The sequence below is a fragment of the Homo sapiens genome, chromosome 12 (genome assembly GCF_000001405.40).
Source record: "Homo sapiens chromosome 12, GRCh38.p14 Primary Assembly".
Lineage (NCBI taxonomy): Eukaryota > Metazoa > Chordata > Mammalia > Primates > Hominidae > Homo > Homo sapiens.
In genome coordinates this window covers 113,221,319-113,244,362 of record NC_000012.12, presented here as the reverse complement: position 1 = coordinate 113,244,362, position 23,044 = coordinate 113,221,319, and the positions used below count along the sequence as shown (strand labels likewise).

General features: G+C 49.4%; 1 protein-coding gene across 10 annotated transcripts in view, besides 11 other annotated features; it reads right to left on the bottom strand.

The window, feature by feature from the left end:
- The window catches only part of TPCN1 (two pore segment channel 1), a 77,122-nt gene extending 54,223 nt beyond the window's left edge, over positions 1 to 22,899 (bottom strand). For 2 of the 10 annotated variants that reach the window (NM_001143819.3, XM_017019480.3), the window contains exons 1-3: positions 22,737 to 22,899; positions 19,027 to 19,119; positions 17,399 to 17,635 (exon numbers count right to left, since the gene is read on the bottom strand). In NM_001143819.3, coding sequence (NP_001137291.1) covers positions 17,399 to 17,635; positions 19,027 to 19,117 — 328 coding nt within the window. In that variant the 5' untranslated portion in view covers positions 19,118 to 19,119; positions 22,737 to 22,899. Of the gene's footprint in view, position 1; positions 103 to 11,755; positions 12,017 to 17,398; positions 17,636 to 19,026; positions 19,120 to 22,736 lie in introns of those variants that run through there. The other 8 variants (XM_011538492.3, XM_047429011.1, XR_001748766.3 and 5 more) reach the window with 6 other exon arrangements.
- Positions 10,895 to 11,064: an enhancer, noted in NCBI's record as "experimental_24604 CRE fragment used in MPRA reporter constructs". NCBI's record gives its function as "activates a minimal promoter by MPRAs in K562 erythroleukemia cells, with activity observed for both the introgressed and non-introgressed 12:113671189 or rs61943586 variant alleles {active_cell/tissue: K562}" and the evidence as "EXISTENCE:reporter gene assay evidence [ECO:0000049][PMID:34662402]".
- Positions 10,895 to 11,126: a biological region, named in NCBI's record as "ATAC-STARR-seq lymphoblastoid active region 7072".
- Position 10,979: a transcriptional cis regulatory region, noted in NCBI's record as "Neanderthal adaptively introgressed variant 12:113671189 (GRCh37/hg19 assembly coordinates) or rs61943586 in the experimental_24604 CRE". NCBI's record gives its function as "modulates activity of the experimental_24604 enhancer by MPRAs in K562 erythroleukemia cells {active_cell/tissue: K562}" and the evidence as "EXISTENCE:reporter gene assay evidence [ECO:0000049][PMID:34662402]".
- Positions 10,987 to 11,126: an enhancer, noted in NCBI's record as "active region_7072". NCBI's record gives its function as "activates an Ori minimal core promoter by ATAC-STARR-seq in GM12878 lymphoblastoid cells {active_cell/tissue: GM12878}" and the evidence as "EXISTENCE:reporter gene assay evidence [ECO:0000049][PMID:35858748]".
- Positions 11,147 to 11,256: an enhancer, noted in NCBI's record as "active region_7071". NCBI's record gives its function as "activates an Ori minimal core promoter by ATAC-STARR-seq in GM12878 lymphoblastoid cells {active_cell/tissue: GM12878}" and the evidence as "EXISTENCE:reporter gene assay evidence [ECO:0000049][PMID:35858748]".
- Positions 12,325 to 12,875: an enhancer, noted in NCBI's record as "H3K27ac-H3K4me1 hESC enhancer chr12:113669293-113669843 (GRCh37/hg19 assembly coordinates)". NCBI's record gives its function as "activates a minimal SCP1, AML or CMV promoter by ChIP-STARR-seq in naive H9 embryonic stem cells {active_cell/tissue: H9 hESC(naive)}" and the evidence as "EXISTENCE:reporter gene assay evidence [ECO:0000049][PMID:30033119]".
- Positions 13,992 to 14,041: an enhancer, noted in NCBI's record as "active region_7070". NCBI's record gives its function as "activates an Ori minimal core promoter by ATAC-STARR-seq in GM12878 lymphoblastoid cells {active_cell/tissue: GM12878}" and the evidence as "EXISTENCE:reporter gene assay evidence [ECO:0000049][PMID:35858748]".
- Positions 14,112 to 14,461: an enhancer, noted in NCBI's record as "active region_7069". NCBI's record gives its function as "activates an Ori minimal core promoter by ATAC-STARR-seq in GM12878 lymphoblastoid cells {active_cell/tissue: GM12878}" and the evidence as "EXISTENCE:reporter gene assay evidence [ECO:0000049][PMID:35858748]".
- Positions 18,478 to 18,647: an enhancer, noted in NCBI's record as "experimental_24602 CRE fragment used in MPRA reporter constructs". NCBI's record gives its function as "activates a minimal promoter by MPRAs in K562 erythroleukemia cells, with activity observed for the non-introgressed 12:113663606 variant allele {active_cell/tissue: K562}" and the evidence as "EXISTENCE:reporter gene assay evidence [ECO:0000049][PMID:34662402]".
- Positions 20,021 to 20,190: an enhancer, noted in NCBI's record as "experimental_24601 CRE fragment used in MPRA reporter constructs". NCBI's record gives its function as "activates a minimal promoter by MPRAs in K562 erythroleukemia cells, with activity observed for both the introgressed and non-introgressed 12:113662063 variant alleles {active_cell/tissue: K562}" and the evidence as "EXISTENCE:reporter gene assay evidence [ECO:0000049][PMID:34662402]".
- Positions 20,905 to 21,199: a silencer, noted in NCBI's record as "tiled region #2606; K562 Repressive DNase unmatched - State 5:Enh". NCBI's record gives its function as "represses a minimal TATA promoter and a strong SV40 promoter by Sharpr-MPRA in K562 cells {active_cell/tissue: K562}" and the evidence as "EXISTENCE:reporter gene assay evidence [ECO:0000049][PMID:27701403]".
- Positions 22,900 to 23,044: the final 145 nt, after the last annotated feature.

Genomic DNA, 23,044 nt, shown 5'->3' with positions numbered 1-23,044 from the left:
CCTTCAGAAAGGCAAGAACTGGCACAGAGCCCTCCCAGTTGAATTGCTGGCCTCCAGCCCAAAATCTGTCCTGCCAAAGGCTTAAGCCAAAGGAGGAAAGGGAAAAAGAAAGGCTCAACGGGGCAGTACCACGGGTCAAGCCCTGTTCTAGAGGGAGGGACTCTGGTGTGAAAGTGGTCAGGATAATGCCCTGTGTCTCCTCTAACTCTGTTTCCGGCCACCTGAAAGGGACCTAAGTGGCCAAGTCCAGAGAGGTTCACTGTCATCCATGAGGCCAGGCCCAGGGAGCCTGGAACTGGCAGGGGATGGGGCAAGGAAGCGGAGAGCAGTTCTATAAATGGAGTGTGAAAGACATGGAAAGGCAGGAGGGGTGCAGATCAGAAACAGGCTTTTGGGAGTTAGGGGACAGAGGAGAATGTAGGCAGGGAGAGGGGCTGGGAAATGAGCACATCAAAATCATCGGGGGCAGTGACTGCAGCCTGAGATGCCCACTTCCTAACCGTCCACATGAGGAACACACAACAGACATCCTAAGGTTGCAAACATTGCCTTGAGAACACCTTTCTAAACTTTTTTTATTTTATTTTTATTTTTATTTATTTATTTTTGAGATGGAGTCTCACTCTTGTTGCTCAGGCTGGAGTGCAGTGGCACAATCTTGGCTCACTGCAACCTCCACCTCTCAAGTTCAAGTGATTCTCCTGCCTCAGCCTCCTCAGTAGCTGGGATTATAGGTGCCTGCCACCACACCCAGCTAATTTTTTGTATTTTTAGTAGAGACAGGGTTCACAAAGTTGGCCAGGCTGGTCTCAAAATCCTGACCTCAGGTGATCCACCCACCTCGGCCTCCCAAAGTGCTGGGATTATAGGGATGAGCCATGCTTTCCCATGGAGTGGGATTACAGGCATGAGTCTGTGCCTGGCCTCTAGTCTTAATAAATCACATGATAATTTTGGGGAGAAAAAGGGAGGATGTAGTATTTTTTTTTTTTTGAGACAGGGTCCCACTCTGTCATCCAGGCTAAAGTGCAATGGCACGATCTTGGCTCACTGCAACCTCCATCTCCCGGGTTCAAGTGATTCTTGTGCCTCAGTCTCCCAAATAGCTGGGAATACAGGCGCCCGCCATCAGGCCTGGCTAATTTTTGTATTTTTAGTAGAGATGGGGTTTCACCATGTTGGCTAGGCTGGTCTTGAACTTCTGACATCAAGTGATCCACCCACCTCAGCCTCCCAAAATGCTGGGATTACAGGTGTGAGGCACCGCACCCGGCCAGATGTAGTTTTAAAAGACTGACCACCTACATGCAAACACATATGGTTTAATTTGAGGAGACATTTATTCAGCACTTACTGTATACCAGGCATTGTGCTAGGTGTTGGATTAGAAAAGGTGAAACCATGGCCCTCGCCCTCATGGAACTCTCCATCAGTAGGTAATGAAGGATCGTGACTCTGGTGCACTGAGATCTAAAATGGGCTGGGATGACAAGGGCCCTCCGTGGGGGCTGGTGGCCAGTGGCAGGGAGGAACTCAGGGGAATGCCAGGGCTGGCATTTCAAGCATGAGGGATGAGGAGGTATTCACAGGGTGGATGGGGATGGGGTGAGTGGCACATTCTAGAAACAAGGATAGTCATTCAGAGAGCACAGAGACTTCAACAGCAGGGCACGTCTGAGAAACTGCAGAGGGTTCTGTAATTCTGAAGCTTAAAGTGCCAGAGACCAGTGACCAGGATGACGCAGTGGGCAAAGGTAACAGCCACGATTCGCATTCAGTACTTACCACACACCAGACACGGTTGAAAGGGCTTTACGTTAATTAATTCTTCTAAGTGTACAAAGGCCCTACAAACAAGACTTGATTATTATCCCCAGTTTACAGAGGGTGAAACTAAGGCCCAGAGAAGCTGAGTGACTTGCCCAAGGTCACAGAGGGAGGAAACGACGGGCAGCCAAGCCCTCACCTTTCCCTCCACTGTTTCCGCAAGGCTGGGGGTGTAGGCCAGGCGGAAAGCCATGCTGAGGGCCTGGACTTGAGCCACTGGGGACTAATGGTGTGGAGCAACCTGATCAGGTGTGCTACTTGGAAAAACACAGCCAAGGAGGTCAGTCCTGGCTAACTCCCTAACCCATCTGCAAACATTCTGCATGGGCAAAACCGCAAGTTCCTTTTCCCAGCACAGCCGTGGCCAGCTCACATTCGTGAGGCAGATTAAATTGCCAGGGGCCGCCACGGTCATTTTTATTGTCTAATCCTCCTTCCTGAGATGGAGAACTGTGTCTTGTCCCTACAGCATGCCCCCCGGTTTGCCAGATGTCCACGGGTAATTTCTTGGTGAGGCAGGACATGACTTCTTCTTTAGTCCATGAATTTCAAGACCCAACTTGGAATTGTACTTCCTGCTCCCATGCCACTGGGTTTATTATGAAACAAAGGGCTTTCCCTGCCACTGCTCACTCACTCACAAAGTATTTATTGAGTACCCGTCATGTGTAAAGTGTTTTAGACGCTTTAAAAAACATTTGTAAAGGCCCTATGCTTCCTGCTGTCTCATACACACACACGCACACACACACACACACACACACACACACACACGCAGAGGCACGCAAACGCCACTGTTTACCCAGTGAAGAGTACAGCACCTGTGCGAACATCTGTTCCATATTCACTTGGAAGCATCTGAAATGCTAATTGTGAAACACCCAGGGACAAGGAAGGGAGCCGGAGAAGAGCAAATGGAGATTAAAGGCATTTTTCACTGTGCACTGGTGCGCTCTGGTTCCCCTGCAAGAGGTCAGCAGAAAGCCAGTGCTCGGAAGAACAAGTTTGGCTTGAGACTCAAGCTGCATGAAGGCTACTGATGTGTCAGCTGATGGCATCCACTCAGCACAGATCAAAAGTCCGCTCTAGTCCTTAACCAGAAACACCTGGGGGCTGGCTGGACCCGGCTTCCATGAACACTGGCCACGCCCCAGCACCTGGATCTGCTGCTGCTGCTGCTGCAGGTGGCTTTGTTCAGAAGAAGAGTAACAAGAGGTGAGGCGGCCATGAAGCAAGCATGGGCACATTGGGGAAGTGACAGCTGGAGGACAGCTACATCCCACAGAGAGCTTGATGGCCTAGGCCTGCCACTTCTCCAGGGCCCTGAATTCCTATGCAGTCAATGGCCAGGCACTGCTTTCGGCCTTCCCTTCCTTTTGCTTCAGTTTCCCTTTCTGTTGGTGGGGAAGGCAGCCCAAAAGGAGCATTGTGAATAAAGGAAAATACAATGGAAATCAAGAAGCCACCCTAAAGAATGAGCAGGAGTGGCCAGGAGCGGTGGCTCATGCCTGTTATCCCAGCACTTAGGGAGGCTCACCAAGGTGAGCAGTTCACCTGAGGTCAGAAGTTCAAGACCAGCCTGGCCAACATGGTGAAACCCCATCTCTACAAAAATACAAAAATTAGCCAGGCATGATGGCAGATGCCTGTAATCCCAGCTACTCGGGAAGCTGAGGCAGGAGAATCACTTGAACCTGGGAAGCCGAGGTTGCAGTGAGCCGAAATTGTGCCTCTGCACTCCAGCCTGGGCAAGAGTGAGACTCTGTCTCCAAAAAAAAAAAAAAAAAAGAATGGGCAGGAGATGGAGCTGCTTGATTTTTAATTCTCCCTGCAACACAACAGGAATGGTAGTCAAGGAAGTTAACTACTGTCCCTCAACTGCTACAACACTTCAGAAAATGCAAACTACCAACTCACATCCCTTAAGAGGAACCGGAAGAATGTGAGAACGGAGGAAAGGTTCACATCCTCAATGCAGAAAGTCCTTCAATTACCTACTCATGGGTTGAGACTCTGACTGTAGACAATCATATACTGATTTTACAATGAAGAAACTGCAACTTAGGAAAAAACAAGCTCAGCTCCTCATTCAAGGATGTTCAGCTATCAAGAGACGATGCCAGAAATTCAACCCCATCCTTTGCAGACTGCGCGACACTCAGAAAATGTTCAACCGTTGTAGACACCAGCAGGTACCATCACTCCTCAATAGACACACATTCATCACAGCCTAAGAATCTCCCAAGCCACCTCCATTTATAGACTTCTGTGTCCCCATACACTCTGGACGGCGTCTGGTCTCCAAGAGGAAATAGCAAAAAACAACATGCAACAAAATCAAATGGGCCAACTAGGCTGGAGGCTGAGTGGACTTTAGCACTCATAAAATCTGCGCCCTGTTGAAGCTACCAGACTGGCTCGAGGCTGTGCAGTAAAAACTGCAATTCCAAACAACCAGGCAGGCCAGCCAAGTGTGAACAGCCGAGCCCGCAAGAAGAGAGGCCCCTCGAGAGTCACAGAGAGAAGACATCATGCTTGTCGACGACCACCCACAAGTGAAAGGCAGCGCAGCCGGCAGCTTGGAGCAGCTCCAAGCCATTAGCCAGCACTAAGCACAGGTCGCTCTGCCCAAGCTGGTTTTCAGCAAGTGCTGAAAGAATTAGGAAAAAAAAATAATAAAATCCCAATCTAACAAAAAGAGAGATAAAAAAGAGAGACAGGCAGTCTACAAATGGTAGGGCGGCGACGGGGAAGCTTAGATGGAAGGAAGGTTGGGATTGGACATGTGTGGGCTCCTGGGGAGTTCGAAGCTGGAAGCAGAGACCCAAACATCCAAAAAGTAGGCTGTTCCTAGGGGCAGCAACGCCATGCCCTGCTGGGCTACTTCTGGTCTGATCACATGTGAATGAGTCTCCTTGTCACCCTCCAGTGGCTCCAGGGGCTGGTTTAGCTGTGACAGTCACCTGGGACCCTGGATGTTTTTGGAAACCGGTGACTCACTCCCAGATATGCAACTTCTATTATGTCTATTATTGTGCCCAGAATATGTGTAGAAGAGACATGATCCCTGCCTTTGCAAAACTTGTACTACCAGAAAGAGGCACAGCTGTGTAAAACATCAGCACCTAAAACAACAGCCATTAACACCCAGGCATTACACTGGGTTAGGCCTCTACCTTCCTGCCCTGCCCTGCCCAGTCATCTCAAACAGGCATCAGGGAGACACAAGAAAGAAACTCACAAACCAGGTAAGCCCTAGCTGGGGGGAGCAGGATTCACAAAACCCTGCTTGATGCTGGATGAACAGAATGGGTATTATTCATACTACGAAAGGATTCTTTGCCAAACTTAGCCCTCCCACCTATATTTTATTTTGAAATATATATGTATATATGTATTTCTAGAGACAGGGTCTTACTCTATGCCCAGGCTCGAGTGCAGTAGTGTGATCATGGCTCACTGCAGTCTCAGACTCCTGGGCTCAAGCAATCCTCATGCCTCAGCCTCTCAAGGAGCTGAGACTACAGGTGTGCACCACCACACCTGGCTAACTTTTTTTAACTTCTTTTTAGAAATGGGGTCTCACTATGTTGTCCAAGCTGGTCTCAAATTCCTGGCCTCAAGTGATCCTCTCGCCTTGGTCTCCCAAAGTGCTAAGATTACAGGGTGAACCACTGCGCCTGGCTCCCACCCGTATTTTAAATTACCTAATTCATCAAAACTCCATTTTCTCACAATCCATCATGGCACAAAGCAAACTCTGATTCAATCATCAAATCGATCACATCCCGGTGCTGGGGAGCGAGTGGGTCTCTGTGCCGTGAAGAGCAGAGAAAGAGGTATAAACAGCATACCTGGAGAATGAGAGACTGTGGAAACACAACCACTATCCTCAAAGGTTAGGGAAGGCTCTCAAGGCCTTCAGCTAAATAAACAGGAAGGGCCAGGAGTGGTGGCTCATGCCTGTAATCTCAGCACTTTGGGAGGCCGAGGCAGGTGGATAGCAAGAGATAGCAAGAATGGCTCTGGGGAAGACTTGGTCATTTAAGGTAGCAAAAAGGACACTCTAATATACAGCTACTGGATTGTTGCCAGGCCAAGGAGCAGGGGTCACACCCACGTGGCACTCACAGGACATATCTGCAAGTCTTCCAAATGCTGCTGAAGCAGGAAGCCACCAAAACTAGGACCCCTAAATCATGTTTTTTAAGGAAAAAAAATAAGCGGCACTGCTGCTGCAGTAACATGATGCTCTCTGCTTGCTTCTACAGCTAAAATATGTGGGCAAAGAGATCAGAATATTTTTAATAATTTGTCATCCAAATACCCAAGCTGTATTCCAAGATGCCAATTCCTCAATACCGGAAGTGTGGCTATGAGGATAGGTTTCTCCACTAAGTGGGAAAGGCAGAACATCAGGGCTTTATCGTGAAGGAGGATGATAAAATGAGAGGTAGGCTGCCATCTGAACAGACTAAGAACTTCCTGATCAACCCAAGATGGGTTGTTCAGGGGACTGTGTCAGTGCACTGGAACAAAGCAGGAACTTATCTGCCGGAAACAGAAGCCACACTTTTTATTCAGGAGAGTGGCCCTGGAACTTCAACGTACTTTCTGATCCTAAGAGCTGGGTGTGGTGGGATTAGGGAGGGCAAAGTGGGAGATATGTGGCAGGGCTGGGCACAGTCAAACATCTTCCTCCCATCAGCTCTGCTTTTCTTTCACTAGCTGCTTCCTCCATGCCCAATACCGCTGGGATGTTTCTCATCAAAGAGCACCCTCCTGGGCCAGACCCCAGGCCAGGTGAGCCTATGAAAGTCCTCATCTGTTCAGCATTGTCCAGATGCTTCCTGAGTGCCTCTTAAGAAGTAGGGACTGGCCAGGCATGGTGGCTCACGCCTGTAATCCCAGCACCTTGGGAGGCCGAGGTGGGCAGATCACTTGAGGTCAGGAGTTTGAGACCAGCCTGGCCAATGTGGTGAAACCCCGTCTCTACTAAAAATACAAAAAAATTAACAGGGTGCGGTGGTGCACACCTGTAATCCCAGCTACTGGGGAGGCTGGGGCACTAGAATTGCTTGAACCCGGAAGGCGGAGGTTGCAGTGAGCCGAGACTGTGCCACTGCACTGCAGCCTGGGCAACAGAGCAAGACTCTAACTCAAGAAAAAAAAAAAAGAAGTAGGAACTGAGCTACTGAGCTGAGCTTCTGGGACCTGGGGAAGTTCAGTGACTGGTCAGGGAGACAGACACAGAGAGAAAAATGCCAAATCCGGCTCCTACTACTGCAGAATAGCCTGGCAGTTTCCTCTCCATCCACCTCTCAATCTCCAGAGGGAAAAGTAACCCCTATTCAGGGCTGACCCACCCCAGGGTTTCTAAGCTCAGGGCTTATCAAGTTGGCTAGAGACAGCATCCCGAGCTGGCAAGATGTCAGCAGGAAGATGCTCTGTCATCACTTGCTTTCTGGCCCAAACACATTTAGCAGCTCCCATGCCCAACTCAACCAGGTCCAAACTCCTGCCATCAGCATTTTAGGCACTCTGTAAAACAGATATGCCTGCTCTGACCCCTGACCCTAATTATAATGGCTGACATCCACCCAATGCTCATTCTGTATAAGCCAGGCACTGTGCTAGTTGTGTGAGGCATGCTATCTTGTATAAACCTCAGAACAGTCCTAAAAGGTAATACTAATATTAGTGTCATTTTACGGATGAGGAAATCAAAGCTTAGAGAGGTTACATCATCTGCCCAAAGTCCCAGCAGGAGAAGTCAGGGCTGGATTCAAACTCAGTGGGTCTGACCCCAGAGTGCATGTAACCACACCCAAATCCAATCTGCCCCCAGCATGCTAGTCTCTGGCCCCGTCCAGGGTGTGGGTCTCAGAAGAGTTCCTACTTCTTTTTTTTTTTTTCTTTTTGAGACAGGGTCTTGCTCTGTCACCCAGGCAGGCTGGAGTGCAGTGACAATCTCGACTCACTGCAACCCCCCTCCTTACTTCAGCCTATGCCATTTCCCCTCCCTGGGATGTTCGGTCCCTCTCCCCAGCACCCCAAACTCCACCTCTTCCTAAGTCACACCTGTCCATAGTTGATCTTCTGCTACTCCCCTGGCTGAGCTGCATGGTGTCCAGCCAAAGGGCTGTACCGTCAGAATTCAACCAGGGGCTACAAACTCAAATGCCTACAGGCACCAGGCAGGTAACAAACATGGGGTGCCGGGGGGTGGGAGACTCAGATGCCAAGCTGTACGTGCACAGCAACTGCTTGGTTATGCAGCCTCTTAAAACACAGTTCAGGCAAAACACAGTAGGCACCCCGTGTCCCTGGGCCACCTCCACACTGCCCGGTCTTGCCATCATTGCCAACTGCTCTTGCCAGGGCAGCATGAATGAATGTTCAGACACTACCCTGAAAAACAATGGTCATTCCCCTGCTTAAAGTGCCCGGGGCTTTTCCGCCACCCCAGGATGAAGGTCCAGCTCCTCTTCAGTATGGCTCTAGGAGTGCAGGCAAGGAGACCCTCAAGATTTGGATCTAACCTTTCTCCCCAACCCTCTGACTCAGATGCCACCCACTCCAGCACATGTATACCTTTCCTCCCCTATTCCTTTCTTCTGGGAGAATCTTTCACTTCCTGTTCATCTCCTTAGACACTCAGCACACTCAAGCTTAATCCGATCTCTAAAGCCAATCTGGATGCTACCCCAACCCCTCACCAAGAGGAAGCACGCCATCTCCTCCTGCCCCCATCTTCCACCTTCTTGGGAAGCCATGTCCACCTCCCCTAAACCCTTCTAGAGTTATACACCACAAAAGCAGCATGTTCTATACTCATCTCACTGCCAACCAGACCAAGCTGTAACTATACTTGACGCACTTCTTCTAACTTCCAGGGCAGCTGTTCTAAGTCCTAAATGTGCGGCCATTTTAGTAACTCGACTTAGTTTTTCAGTTGACAAGAAAGTGACGATTTAAGGAAAAAAGAAGACCAGCTATTAAATCACTTTTTTCTTTTTTTTTTTTTTAAACCACTACTTTTAAAAAAACTTCTAATGCTCACTTGAATCTTTATTACACATTTCAAAGTCAAAGCTAACAACAATAAAAAAAGGTTACAGCCCAAATCAAATCACTTTTAAAAAACAGTAGCGGTCTAAAGTTGCATAGGATGAAGATAAGAACGGAGAATGTAGAATGAGCACTCCATAGACTCATGTGAACCATAACAAAGAAGGAAAGAATCACCAGGAAAGAATGATGCAGGGTTTCCTGGGAGATGCGCCCACCTGCTCTGGCTTCAAATCTCCCTTTGCCTGGCCTGGCTTGACACCTCCACCCTCCAGCCCCAGCTTTGATCCCAAAGCCAAATGAAATCTGGTCTTTCTTTGGGCAAAGCATTTAGTGGCAAAGAGGAGACTGCCTGACCTGTTCTGATTCCCACTGGAAGCCACTGGAAGAGGAAGATAACCTCAAGGGCCATGGAGAGTTTGTTGTTGGTTTTGTACTCTTTTCCTTAATTTGAAGTAGTCTGCTCTGAACAGAAAACAAAGGGTGAATCGGTATGTTCTACGTCAGAGAGAGCAGGGGCAGCCTACTGACCAGATTTCACTATACATTGAAGACATATATGAATTGGTTGCCACTATTTACAAATCAAAAGACTTTTGATTAAAAATATAGGTTCTAATTTCTTTTGAAAAACTGGCAAATGTGCTAGCAATCAGCCTGTGATCCTACACGACAATGATTAGCCAGAATAAATCACAGTTGTCCCTTCAGAGAGTGCACACTGGCCCCAGTATGCCCCTGGTCCGGCAGGCCCCAGGGTGGCCCAGCTCTCAAATTTTTTGCTACAATCTTGTACCTCCTCTGAGCCAGAGCCTCATGACTGGGGTAGGGAAAGAACTGCACTTTTTACAAGGAGATAAATATCTCCAACAAAAAGCAAACAAGGCGTAAAGGGTACCCGGTACAAAAGGCAACACAAGCACCAATGGTCCCAATTTAGTTATCTGGCTCAGTCCAGGGACTTCTACCAGGCAAGTCCTGATAAGGGGTCACCTGCCACTGGGAGTCAACAACCTCAGAGGATCACTGCCCTCAGCAAGCCCACCTGGCCTTGAGAGTCTAACCTCATGCCCCGCTCCAAACTGCTCCTCTTCATCCTTCCTTTCCCAGGCCCAAATCTTGGCTCCTGAGAACTCCCATTTTCCGCCCAAATTTTCTTGTTCTAACCACCATGATGGAAAAAGTAGCCAAATGTCTCTATGCAGAGGAAGAATCAGGAAAAGGCGTGCATGGGGGAAAAGCCTAGTTTCCACAGATGGTGACACTGTAGCTGTCCTTTGTGGTCTGGTGTTCACTTGCCCTGTCTCGGAGCTTCTCTGGGATGATCCAACACAGCTTCACCATGAAACGCCATCAGTTGTGCTATTTTTACAATATGAAAGGGAGCTCTAGGTATGGAACTCCATTTAGAATAATTGCCTTGGAGGAAATAAAAGTTTAATTTAAAAAAAGGATAAAGATAGAAACCAACTTCCTTTTGGGAAACAAAGAAATTCAGCCTAAAATGCTACCTCTTCCACAGAGCTCTACCTCACGGAGGGGGGCATACTAGGTAAGAGACTGGTTCTGGAGTCACTAGACATGGGTTCAAAGGAAGTCAAAGTGTCTTTGTGACCTTGGATAAGTTTCAACCTCTGAGAGCCTCCGTTTCCTCTTCTTTGAGATGATATTGAAAGTAACGGCCCCCCAAATCTGCTGGGAGGGAGGACCAAATGATAGCAGCACAAAAGTGCTTTGGATACCGCCTGACACACGGCGAGGGCTCAACACCCACAGGCCATGATTATGACTGCACATACCCTGACCCAGGCACATCCTCTCCCCAGGCATACCTGACTGCGGGGAGAAGGGTGACAGTCAGAGGATGTCCGAACCAGAGGATTCACTCTAGCCAAGGGCAAGAATGGAGAGCCACCCAGGGCTCCTGGAGCAGGAAGGCGGCGTGGGGGCTGTCTCAAGATTGACGTCACTCCAGGTTTGTTCCTGGGCTACCTTGCTGTCATTTGAAACCTCCCCGCAGAGGGCACTGCAACCTGATGCCCCCAGCGGCACGCTGCTGTGAGCCATCCAAGCCCTCCCATATTGCCTCCCCGATGGGGAAGCTGAGAAGTTCACGGTTCTGGCTCATGAAGCGCTCTCAGAGGAAACGTGAACTCAGCCCTCCCCCAGGCGAGTGGGGAGGAGAGTGGCAGGTGCTTCAGCCTGCACCCAGCTGCCACGACTGCCATTTAGAGCGGCAGCGTCTTGTGTGCGGGAAAGGGGGACGGGAAGAGATGGCATCTCATGGCAGGGGGCCTGAGGCAACAGACAGGATCCCCCCCATGAAGATGTGGAGGGCTGAGGAAGTGAAAGCTCCAAGGCTCGGCTGCAAGGCTCTCGCCCAGCATGCTGGATGCTTACTCATTTTAATTGGCACCACTGCTGGTCTGGTGACACCCGACGCTCTGCCTTGGTGAGGCCCTGAAAAAGCCAGGGGAATGACTCCAGCGGAGCCAAATGCCCAAGCTCGGTGGGAGCCTGTGAAAATCTAATTGCTGCTTGGTCTCCAGCTGCTACACGGAGGCGTCCCAGCTTGGCAGGGGCCACCTGCTGTGCCAGGAGTGAGGCAAGAAGGATCTGAATCGTGGCCTGGGTTCAGGACCTCTGCTCATGGAGGATATTCCAAGGAAGCCCAGTTTCTGCCATGATAATAATGCCTATGACCGGCTGAGCACTGACCATGTGATCACACACATGCTCTCACTCAATCCCCCATGACGACTCTACTGGTAGATGCCATCATGGTCACATTCTACAGATGAGCAGGCTGAGGCTTAGAGCAGCTAAGCACTATACTCAGCTCAACCACTCCACTCACCATGGTATCACAAGTGACAAAAGCTGTGCAAGCCCCTTGGGCTTCTTCACTCTTTGGCAAGTATGCTGGGGCCATCTGGTCAGAGGCAGAGCCACGGCACAGACATCAGTGATGGAGCGCACACCTCGGGGTGTATTCTTCTCTGGTGCCAGCCGGCGAGGATCTCTCCCAACTCCTCCTGGCTACGGCGGCCCTGCGGCCAACAGCTCTGGCCCACCTTGACTGAGCCTGGTGCCAACTCGCCCTGGCTGCATGAAGACCCTGAAAAGGGGACCAGGGTGCCACATGGGGGCCCCTGCCAGGGGGCAGGGATCCTCCACATTGCTGAGGCTGCACTGTGTCCTAGGGAACTCCAGATGATGTGCCAGGCATCGGCGTGAAGGAGGGAGAGGTCAGCTCTCTGCGCTGTGACCTTGGGCCTTAGCTGCAGGACCTGTCACCTGAAAACCATAAACAACCCGGCACCAAAGCAGAGACGGAGCATCCTGCTCAGACCTCAGCCAGCCCCCGCGAGCCCAATCCTTCCTTCACTCAGAAAAGGCACATGGTCCAGCCCATCTTAGGCAGCAGCTGGCTTTAAAGGCAGGGAGAAGGCAGAGCTGAGTGTGACCAGAGTTACCCTGGGAAATTCCTTGGACTGCCCACTACATTCAGACTCGTCCTGATTCCCTGAATGTGGTGGGTGAGACCACCGCCTGTCACGCGGTGTGGACTGTGGTCTGTCTCTACACTGCTCTAACAGTGGCCCCGCTGACTGTTTTCAAGGTTATTCCTAGTTTCCAGGCTTTAAATACCTCTGCTCATACCTGCCTCCTTTATCAACCTGACACCATGCTGCCTGTGAGTCATTCATTAGCACTGCAGCAGCCGCACTTAGAGCCCAAAGATGTCTGAGTCTTGGATTAAATCCACAATTGCCCATATAAGGAGAAAAACCCAAACCCTCCAGTTTCCTGCAGGGATAAGGCCCTCACATAGGGTTAAAGGTCACAGGCAGCACAGCCAGATTCCTCAGTCCCTGCCTCTGAAGAATGGGTAGGAGTGTGATGGCCTGAACTGTGTCCCCCTCAAATTCATAGGCTGAAGTCCTAACCCCCAGTAGCTCAGAATGTGACTGTCTTTGGAGAAAGGGCCTTTAAAGGTGATTAAGGTAAAACAAGGTCATATGGATGAGCCCTAATCCAATAGGACTGGTGTCCTTATCTGAAGAGGACAGACACACAGACTCAGGGACAATCATGTGGGGACACAGCAAGAAGATAACCATTTGCGAGCCAAGGAAAGAGGCTTCGCAAGAAACCAAACCTGCTGACACCTTGGTCTTGGACTTCCAGCCTCCAGACCTGTGAGAAATTAGATTTCTGTCATTTAAGCCACCAGTCCATGGTGTTTTGTTAGGGGTGCCCAACCAGACATGGAGCGTGGAGGTACAGTGCTGAGAAGGCCTCAGCGGCTGCTGGGCCAAAACAAAGGCCAGGCTTGATGGTGACTCAGCCTTAGAAAGCTTGCTTCGTTCCCAGTAGCCCATGCTCATGTCGTTGCCAACTCCGCGGATGGCCTGCATCTGCATTCTGCCAACTCCTTAGTACTTCAAAGGTTTACAGCAACCAAAGACAAAGGTCAGTGATGGCAGCCACCAGGACACTCAGCTGTGCTGAGAGCAATGGGACTCAAAGCAATGGTGAGGAGAGGCGGCAGGAGGGAGGCTGCCCACCTCTAACTCGGGCCCTTACACTGCCACTCCCATGGGCTGCGAGGCCCCAGAAATCCAAGTACGTTGATTCTGACCACTATTTGTTGAGTACCTGCATATTGTGGGCACTGAGCTATGTGATACAAAGACAAATGGATGGGCCAGGCATGGTGGCTCATGCCTGTAATCCCAGCGCTTCAGGAGGCCAAGGCGGATAGATCACTCGAGGTCAGGAATTTGAGATCAGCCTGGCCAACATGGTGAAAGAATGTGACTGTGTTTGGAGAAAGGGCCTTTAAAGGTGACTAAGATAAAACAAGGTCATATGGATGAGCTCTAATCCAATAGGACTGGTGTCTTTATCAGAAGAGGACAGACACACAGACTCAGGGACAATCACGTGGGGACACAGCAAAAAGGTAACCATTTGGGAGCCAAGGAAAGAGGCTCTACTGAAAATACAAAAAATTAGCTGGGCGTGGTGACACATGCCTGTAGTCTCAGCTGCTGAGGTGGGAGGATCACTTGAACCTGGGAGGTGGAGGTTGCAGTGAACTGAGATGGTGCCACTGCACTCCAGCCTGGGTGACAGAGTGATACTCCACCTCAAAAAAAAAAAAAAAAAAAAAAAGATGAATGGATCTCAGGGCCTAGTAGGTGATCAGATGGTTAAATGTGTAATTACCCCACTATAATCTACTTGTAATAATGGAAGCCTAATCAAGATACCGAAGCAGAAAAGGGTAGTGAGTAATTAGCTCTGTCAGGAAGGGGAAGTTCAGTGAAGGCTTCAAAGAGATGGTGTTATCAGCAGGATTTTCAAGACAGAACTGGAGGCCACGAGCAAACAAGAGGCTGAGAAAGGGATTCTAGACTGACTTGCCAGCAAGGTGGAAAGGTTTAAGAATGCACAGGGGATTCACCGAACTAAATGCAGTATGATGCTGTGGACTGAGGCAGGAAATGGGACTGGTCAAGCAAGAAGGCACTAGAACACGCAAGGCTTCGTTGCCAGCTGAAGAGCTTGCCCTCCCCAACCCCCATAGAGGGATGGGAAAGTCCCAGGAAGCTTTAAAACAAGGCAACAACCAGGTTGGGCTTGTGTTTTAGATGGACTGCTCAGGGCCGGGTGTGGTGGCTCACGCCTATAATCCTAGCACTTTGGGAGGCCGAGGCAGGTGGATCACTTGAGGCCAACAGTTCGAGACCAGCCTGGCCAACATGGTAAAACCCCCGTCTCCACTAAAAATACAAAAAAATTAGCTGGGTGTAGTGGCTCACGCCTGTAATCCCAGCTACTTGGGAGGCTGAGGCAGGAGAATTGCTTGAACACGGGAGGCGGAGGTTGCAATGAGCCGAGATTGTGCCACTGCACTCTAGCCTGGGTAGCAGAACGAGACTGTCTCAAAAAAAAGGACTGAAGGACTGCTCCTCAGACAGCAGGGACAGGGGGACGCTGGGGTAGAAGGTCAAGGCCAAAATCCAAGCATGAAATATCAAAGGCCTACTATGCTAAGGCAGAGCAGGCCTCCTCTGAAAACTCTTGTTTACTTGCACAGGTCCTACCCTTCTTCCCAGCCAGGCTTGGTGAATTACACCCACAAGTCATTGAGGTTTTAAAAAATGACCCAGTAAGAAGCTGAGAGAAGAAACTAAGATACTAATGTGCTGTACAGGAAAAACAATGTCCCTGGACCCCAGCAGTTAGTTATACATTTCTTTATTCTTGAGAAACAAACCAAAGCAAGCCACTGACTTTGCCAAGATAAAAGCAGCCTTGCTAGTGGCCTAGCCAAGGGGAGTCTTATTGTGTCTCTGGCCTATTTCCTATTCATCAACATTCAAAGCCTGATCTTGACACAGGACTGGGTTGCTCTCTTGCCCCTTTCATCCCACAGGAAAGCTGGACACCCCACCATCAGGTCAGGCACGTTGGAGGGACTTAAAAGTGACACTCACGATGACAGCCAGGATTCCCATTTAGAATCTTAAGCCTGGCTATTTCCAGACACAAGCCACACCCTTAGTAGGCCAACCACCCTCCCTCACTAGGCAGCATTCCTCTCTAAAGCTGAAACTGAGCCACAATCACTTTCATCCCTTTCCCCAAAGCGCCTTCCACTGTGGTGTGGGAGGAAAGACAGGCTTTACTGCTTACTAGCTGTGTGACCTTGGACAAGTCACTTAACCTCTCTGAGCCTGTCTCCTCCTCTGTAAAATACAGATAATAATAACAACCCTATATTGAGGTTATATGAGGAGATAATATAAATGCTAAAGGTCTGTACTCACCTTTTATTTTTTTGAGACAGGGTCTTGCTCTGTTGCCCAGGCTGGAGTGCAGTGGTGCAGTCATAGCCCACTGCAACCTTCCTGGGCTCAAGCAATCCTCCCACCTCAGCCTCCTGAGTAGCTGGGACTACAGGCATGCACCACCATACCCAGCTAAGTTTTTAATTTTTTTGTACAGCCGAGGTCTCGCTATGTTGCCCAGGTTGGTCTTGAACTCAAAGTCACTGGGCTCAAGTGATCTTCCTGCCTTGGCCTCCCAAAGTGCTGTGATTAAAGGTGGGGGCCACCACGCCTGGCCTGTGCTCACATTTATTAAGGGTGATGAAGAAAAAAGGAGAGGGAGGAGCAGCTGAAGAAGTAAAAGAAGGAAGAGGAGAAGGGGAAGGAATTCTGGAGTCAGATGATGCTGGGTTCAAATCTCTGCTCAACCATTTCCTGGCTGTGTGACTTCAGACAAGTTACTTGACCTCTCTGACCCATAGTTTCCTCCTCTGTAAATAGGGATAATACTGCCTAGCCTTGCAAAGGGATTTCAGAAAGAAAACAGATAGTCTGAAATCAGAGCCACTGCTTTCTCATCCCTGAGTGGCACTTGGGGAAAAATCAAGTTTATGTTCGAATCCTTCTGGGCAATCCAGCTCTGCCACCCTAGATGAGGGTGAACACAGTGAAGCAAAGAGAGGCCTGTTTCTAGGCAGCCAGGGCTCCCCACCACACTCACATCCCTGGAAACACTGCTCTCCTTCATCAGTTCCCAGGGGAGGCCACCAAACTCCCTGCAACTCAACTGAATTCTCCCTGGACAAATGAGACGGGAGAGCCTGGCTCGTCTCTCCTTGGCCCCAAACATCTCTGCCCTGACTGGGGAGCACTGGGAGACGGTGGAACATCCATTTGCTAAGCAGACCCTAAAGCACTGCTTCCTGATGTCTTAGGACCCTCCAGAAAAGGCGAGTTATTTTAAGCCTCTCCTGAGCCCAAGGCCTGAGCAACTGAAACAAATGGCTTCGGGATGAGAACCAGAAAGGTTTTCAAGGCCTCTCATTCTGCCAGAAACACACTTAAAATTTAAAAAATTTAAAGCTCCTTGCCGCACTTGGGTTCACTTTGTGCTAGGCTTTGGTTCAGAGGAAGACAAAGCAAAACCCCAAGCCCTCAAATCAATGGATCATGACAAAACACTCGCCCTCTTCCCCGCTGTCCTGGGCAAGAAGGGACTGAGATGGAGCAAAGAGACGCGGGCAGTGCTGCTTTCCTGCCAACGGTTTCAGATGGGGACAGACGGAGGCTGGTGTTGAAATCTGTTTCTTTTTTTAACAAGGAATGGGGCAGGGAAGGCAGCCAAAGTAGGTTGGCCTGAGGTCCCCACCAAGCATCCACAGGCAGGCCAAGGTACCTCAGGTGCAAGGCAGGCAGTGGAGAAGGTAGCGAGGGCACCAAGAGGGGCAGCTAGGCCCCCAGAAACACTGCCAAGCTGGGGGTGTGGAAGGAGAAACACACAGCCTCCCAGGAGTAGTTTCTGTATCAGAACTTGGGGCTCAAATGTGGGGCCAGGCAACAAGTTACACACCCCTACTATCAGACCACAAAGCGCTTATCACCTCTCAGCCTCTGAAACAGAAAAGCTGGGGTCCCCCCAGCCCACCCCACCATCTTACTTTTGCTAGGTAGCTCTTCTTGGCCCAGGCCGTTGGAGGGAGCCAGTGGGGCACTGCCACCCTCATCCAAGGTCAGGATGAGCGGCACGTCGTCATCCAAACTCACAGCCATGTTCTCTTCTCCTGTGGCCCTCAGGATATGATATCCAGGGCTTGAAATAGTCTCTGGTTTGAGCTCCCTTTCAAAGCCACTGGGCCAGGGGTGCTGCTCAGAAACTCCTCCATTAGAGGCATCTTCTAGGGTTTGGGAATTAAAAAAATAAAAGATAATTATTAAAATACAGCCATGACTGATGAATCTATTCTGAAATTAGATAGTGGTGATGGTTGCACAACCTCGTGAATAAAAACCACTCAAGTATACTCTTTAAAATGGTGAACTAGGGCCAGGCGCGGTGGCTCACACCTATAATCCCAGCACTTTGGGAGGCCAAGGTGGGTGGGTCACTTGAGCCAGGAGTTCAAGACCAGCCTGGCCAACATAGCAAAACCCCATCTCTACTAAAAATACAGAAAATTAGCTGGGCTTGGTGGTAGGTGCCTGTAATCCCAGGTACTCGGGTAACTGAGGCATGAGAATTGCTTAAACCCAGGAGGTGGAAGCTGCAGTGAGCAGAGATCATGCCACTGCACTCCAGCTTAAGTGACAGAGACCTTGTCTCAAAATAAATAATAAAATGGTAAATTATATCTTAATTTAAAAAATAATAAAATGGTAAATTAAAACTCAATTTTTAAAAAAATTGGCCGGTGGGGTGGCTCACATCTGTAACCCCAGCATTTTGGAAGGCTGTGGTGGGAAGATCAATTAAGGCCAGGAATTTGAGATCAGCCTGGGCAATATAGCAAGACCTTGTCTCTATAAAAAATTAAAAAAAAAAAAAGCTGGTTGGGTAAGCATACACACAGAAAAAAATAAAATAAATATTTAACATACAAAAATAAATAAATAAATAAAATTAGCTGGGCAGGTGGCACACCTGTAGTCCCAGCTACTCAGAAGGCTCACTTGAGCCCAGGAGTTCAAGGCTACAGTGAGCTATGACTGCACCACTGCACTCTGGCTTGGGCAACAGAGTGAAATCCTGTCTCTTAAAAAATAAAAGAATTAGGCCGGGCACAGTGGCTGACACCTGTAATCCCAGCACTTTGGGAGGCCGAGGCGGGCGGATCCTGAGGTCAGGAGTTTGAGAGCAGCCTGGCCAACATGGTGAAAACCCATCTCTACCAAAAATTCAAAAAATTAGCTGGGCGGGGTGGCACGTGCCGGTAATCCCAGCTACTCAAGAAGCTGAGGCAGGAGAATCGCTTGAACCCGGAAGGCAGAGGTTGCAGTGAACCGAGATAGAGCCATCCAGCCTGGGTGACAGGGCGAGACTCTGTCTCAAAAAAATAAAATAAAGATAAATAAATAAATAAAAACAGAATAAAAGCATTATTACAGTATAATAGCATTAAAATACGGAGGGAGGGAACCCTGCAAGAACAAATACTGAAAAGTTAAGGGTAATTCTGTCTGGAGAGTGACATTAGGGCCAATATGTCCTACCTCCACTTCTCTTTACATTTATTTGTAAGTTTTGTAAAGACTTCAAAGAAAAAAATAGGCTGGGCACAGTGGCTCCCACCTGTAATCTCAGCGCTTTGGGAGGTCAAGGTGGGAGAACTGCTTGAGCCTAGCAGTTCAAGACCAGCCTGGGCAATGTAGCAAGACTCCATCTCTACAAAATAAAAAATTTTAAATTAGCTGGGTATGATGGCATATGCCTGTAGGCCTAGCTGCTTGGGAGGCTGAGGTGACGGAAACACTTGATCCCAGGAGTTGGAGGTTATAGTGAGCTATGATCACACCACTGCAGTCCAGCCTGGACAACAGAGTGAGACCCTGTCTCTAAAAAATAAAGTAAAATAAAAGGCTGGGCACGGTGGCTTACAACTGTAATCCCAGCACTTTGGGAGGCAGAGACGGGTGGATCACTTGAGCTCAGGAGTTCAAGACCAGCCTGGCCAAAATGAAGAAACCCCGCCTCTATTAAAGATACAAAAATTAGCTGGGTGTGGTGGCTTGCGCCTGTAATCCCAGCTACTCTGTAGGCTGAGGCAGGAGAATCACTTGAACCCAGGAGGCAGAGGTTGCAGTGAGCCGAGATGGTGCACTGCACTGCAGCCTGGGCGACAGAGCCAGATTCCACCTCAAATAAATAAATAAATTAATTTAATTAAATTAAATGACAAAAAAATACAACCATTAAAATAATAGTTAATATGCGGCCAGGCGCGGTGGCTCATGCCTGTAATCCCAGCACTTTGGGAGGCCGAGGCGGGCGGATCACGAGGTCAGGAGATCAAGACCATCCTGGCTAACATGGTGAAACCCCGTCTCTACTAAAAATACAAAAAATTAGCCGGGCGTGGTGGCAGACGCCTGTAGTCCCAGCTGCTCAGGAGGTTGAGGCAGGAGAAAGGCGTGAACCCGGGAGGCGGAGCTTGCAGTGAGCCGAGATTGCACCACTGCACTCCAGCCTGGGCGACAGAGCGAGACTCGTCTCAAAATAGTAATAATAATAATAGTTAATACTCAATGAGTGCGTACTATGTATGAGGGACCCTACTAGCACTTCATAAGTAAAAGTTAACTGAAAATTCTTAATAGCCCCATGAGATAGGCAGGCTTATTATCCCCCCATTACAGGATGGGTGTGGTGGGTATTTCAGGCACAGACAGATTACGTATCCTGCCCAAGGACCCACAGCTAAATAAAAGCCAAGCTTTCAGCTCTACGGTGTGACTCCAAACCTGTATTCCCAGCCATTACACTATAATTCCTCAAAGTCTGGGCCATGTATTTAGGCAGCACCTAGCTTCAATCATCAATATATACTTGCTCATATATACAGATTTAAAATACATCTTTCACTTCAGCTTTACCATGCAGCCTCTCAGAACAGTTAGAAACATACTTCCAAAATGTATGATTTTTATATCATTTTTATATAGGAGTTGTTCTCTTAGATTTAGGTGTCCGAGGAAGGGGAAAAGAGTATTTTTTTTTAACTGGTGAGTATTTTTTAATACAGTAAAAGTGCTCATCCTTAACTCCCAATTTAAAACACTCAGAGCAGCCGGGAGTGGTGGCTCATGCCTGTAATCCCAACATTTTGAGAGGCCGAGGCAGGTGGATCGCTTGAGGTCAGGAGTTTGAGACCAGCCTGGCCAACATGGCGAAACCTGGTCTCTACTAAAAATACAAAAATTAGCCAGGTGTGGTGGTGCATGCCTGTAATCCCAGCTACTGGGGAGCCTGAAGCAGGAGAATCACTTGAACCCAGGAGGCAGAGGTTGCAGTGAACTGAGATCACGCCACTACACTCCAGCCTGGGCGACAGAGCGAGACTCCATCTCAAAAAATAAATAAACTAAAAATTTAAAAATAACTAAATAAGTAAAACACTCCGAGCTAGCCTGTTACAGCTCCTATTTATGCACATTCCCGTTTCCGCTGAGAAGAACCAAAAAAAAAAAAAAAAAGACTCAGCAGATCTGACTGCAGACCTTTGAACTTGCAAACAGCAGCAGGTTCCTTCCTCAAGCTGTGGGCTCTGGGCTCAACCCACTTTGCCTCCCAACTGACCTAGTCAATGGCAGCTGAGCAACTGACTTCTTCCTCGAATCATTGGAACAACTCCAAGCAAATCCTTGTGCATCCACAGGGAACAGTACAACGTTTTGAAACAAGGCAGCGAAAGTAAACATCATTCTACTTGCTGCTAAGCCCGTAGCTCTCTGCCCAGCACACTTCCTGTGAGTTTTTTTTTCTTAAGTTTCCTCCAGATCTGGGGATTTATTTTGCTTTTAAATCTCAGCAGTGGAAAGGCAGAAGAGGAAATCCCAGATGAGACACTACTATTTGGCAGTCTTAAGAATTATGGTTGTATTGTCGTTTTGGTTTAACTTTTTACCACAGATATTTTCAAACATTCTCAAAAGTGCAGAGAATATATACGTGAACTTCCTTGTATCCATTACTCAGCTTTGACAATTATCTCCCATGTTTACTTTGAAGGCAGGAGAATTTATTAACTCACAGAGAAGAGGTTTCTTAATGTTACCATTATCATAATGGCTAGTGGTTTCTATGTTTTAACTCACGGCTGTCCAACCTTTTGGCTTCCCTGGGCCACGCTGGAAGAACTATCTTGGGCCACACATAAAATACACTACCATTAATGATGAGCTAAAAAAAAAGAGGCAGGGGGGTTGTTCATGCATAATTTTCATGATATCTGCCACCATAGATTAAAGTCCTCGCATTCAAATGCTTCAACACGGTTGTTTAACTGTTTAATATATGACTGCTTGCCTGCCTGTACTGCCTTTGCCCACTGGCTTTCAACTGGGGTGATTTTTGCCCCCATGGGGACATCGGCAATGTCTGGAGACATCTTGACTGTCACAACTTGGGAGTGGGGGGATTGCTGGTGGGTGGAGTCCAGGTATGCCACTGAACTTGCTTCAATGCACAGGTGAGACCTCCCGAAACAGAATTATGTGGCTCAAAATGTCAACTGAGCTGCTGTTGAAAAATCCTATCTTAGCTAATATCCCCACTTTAGGAATGAGGAAATTGAAGCTTGGAGTGGTTAACTTGCCTTTTATAAGTTTCAACCCAGGCAGTCTGAATCAGGGACCCTGCCTGCTTAACCATTACCCTATATACACCTACGACTAGAACCAGTCCCCTGATTTGAATTCAAACACGTCATTTTTCCAGACAGACAAAAATGAGGCCCAGAGAGGGGAAGAGACTTGCCCAAGGTCACACAGTGGAGGAGTAGGGCTAGAACCCGGGACTCCTGCGTCCTGGTCCAGTGTTCCCTCCGCGGGCTTTGCTTCTGCCTCTACAGAGGACCCAACTGGCCAGCGCTGGGGAAAGGGCCTAGGGGAAGAGGTTCAGCTACCATCCCGCTGTCCGCTGGGGCAGCCTGACCCAGGCACAAGACTCCTGTGGGGTCACCTAAGGGCGCCAGGGAGAAGAGCGAGGGAGGGAGGAAGAAGGAGGCAGGACAGCTGGCTCCAGCTCCACGTGCTCCCAGCCCCTGGCTGGGAGCCCACGTGAGGGTCGCCCTAAGAAGTCGGGGGCGAGGAGAGAGGGTGCAAAGCCCCGGCCCGGGCTGGACGGAGAGAAGCGCGGTGGAGACTTCCCTGCGCCCCCTCTGGGCCCGTACGGCCCACCTCCCACACCAGAGTGCTGCGCCGCAACCCCTTACTCCGCGTCCTCTGACCCCTGATCCCTGCCCTCTCCCTCGGGCCAAGCCGTCGCATCCCTCGGATTCTTACACGCGCCGCCCCAGCAACCCGGACCGCGCGCCGGGGTCCGCACCGCGCAGCCTAGCCCGCCGGCGCCGCCGCCAAAACCCCGAGCCCGAAGCTGTTGCAGCCGCCGCAGCCGCCGAAGCCGCCGCCACTTCAGCCACTGCCACCAGGGCAGCTGCGCCAGCTCTCCTATCCACCGCCTACCGTCCTCTCAACCCCGCTGGCCCCGCCCCATTTCCCCTTCACAGCGTCCTACTGGCTAACTGGGCTACCGTGATGAACTCTGATTGGCCAACTATCACGTCCTTCCGCAGGTCTCGCCCGCCGCCGAT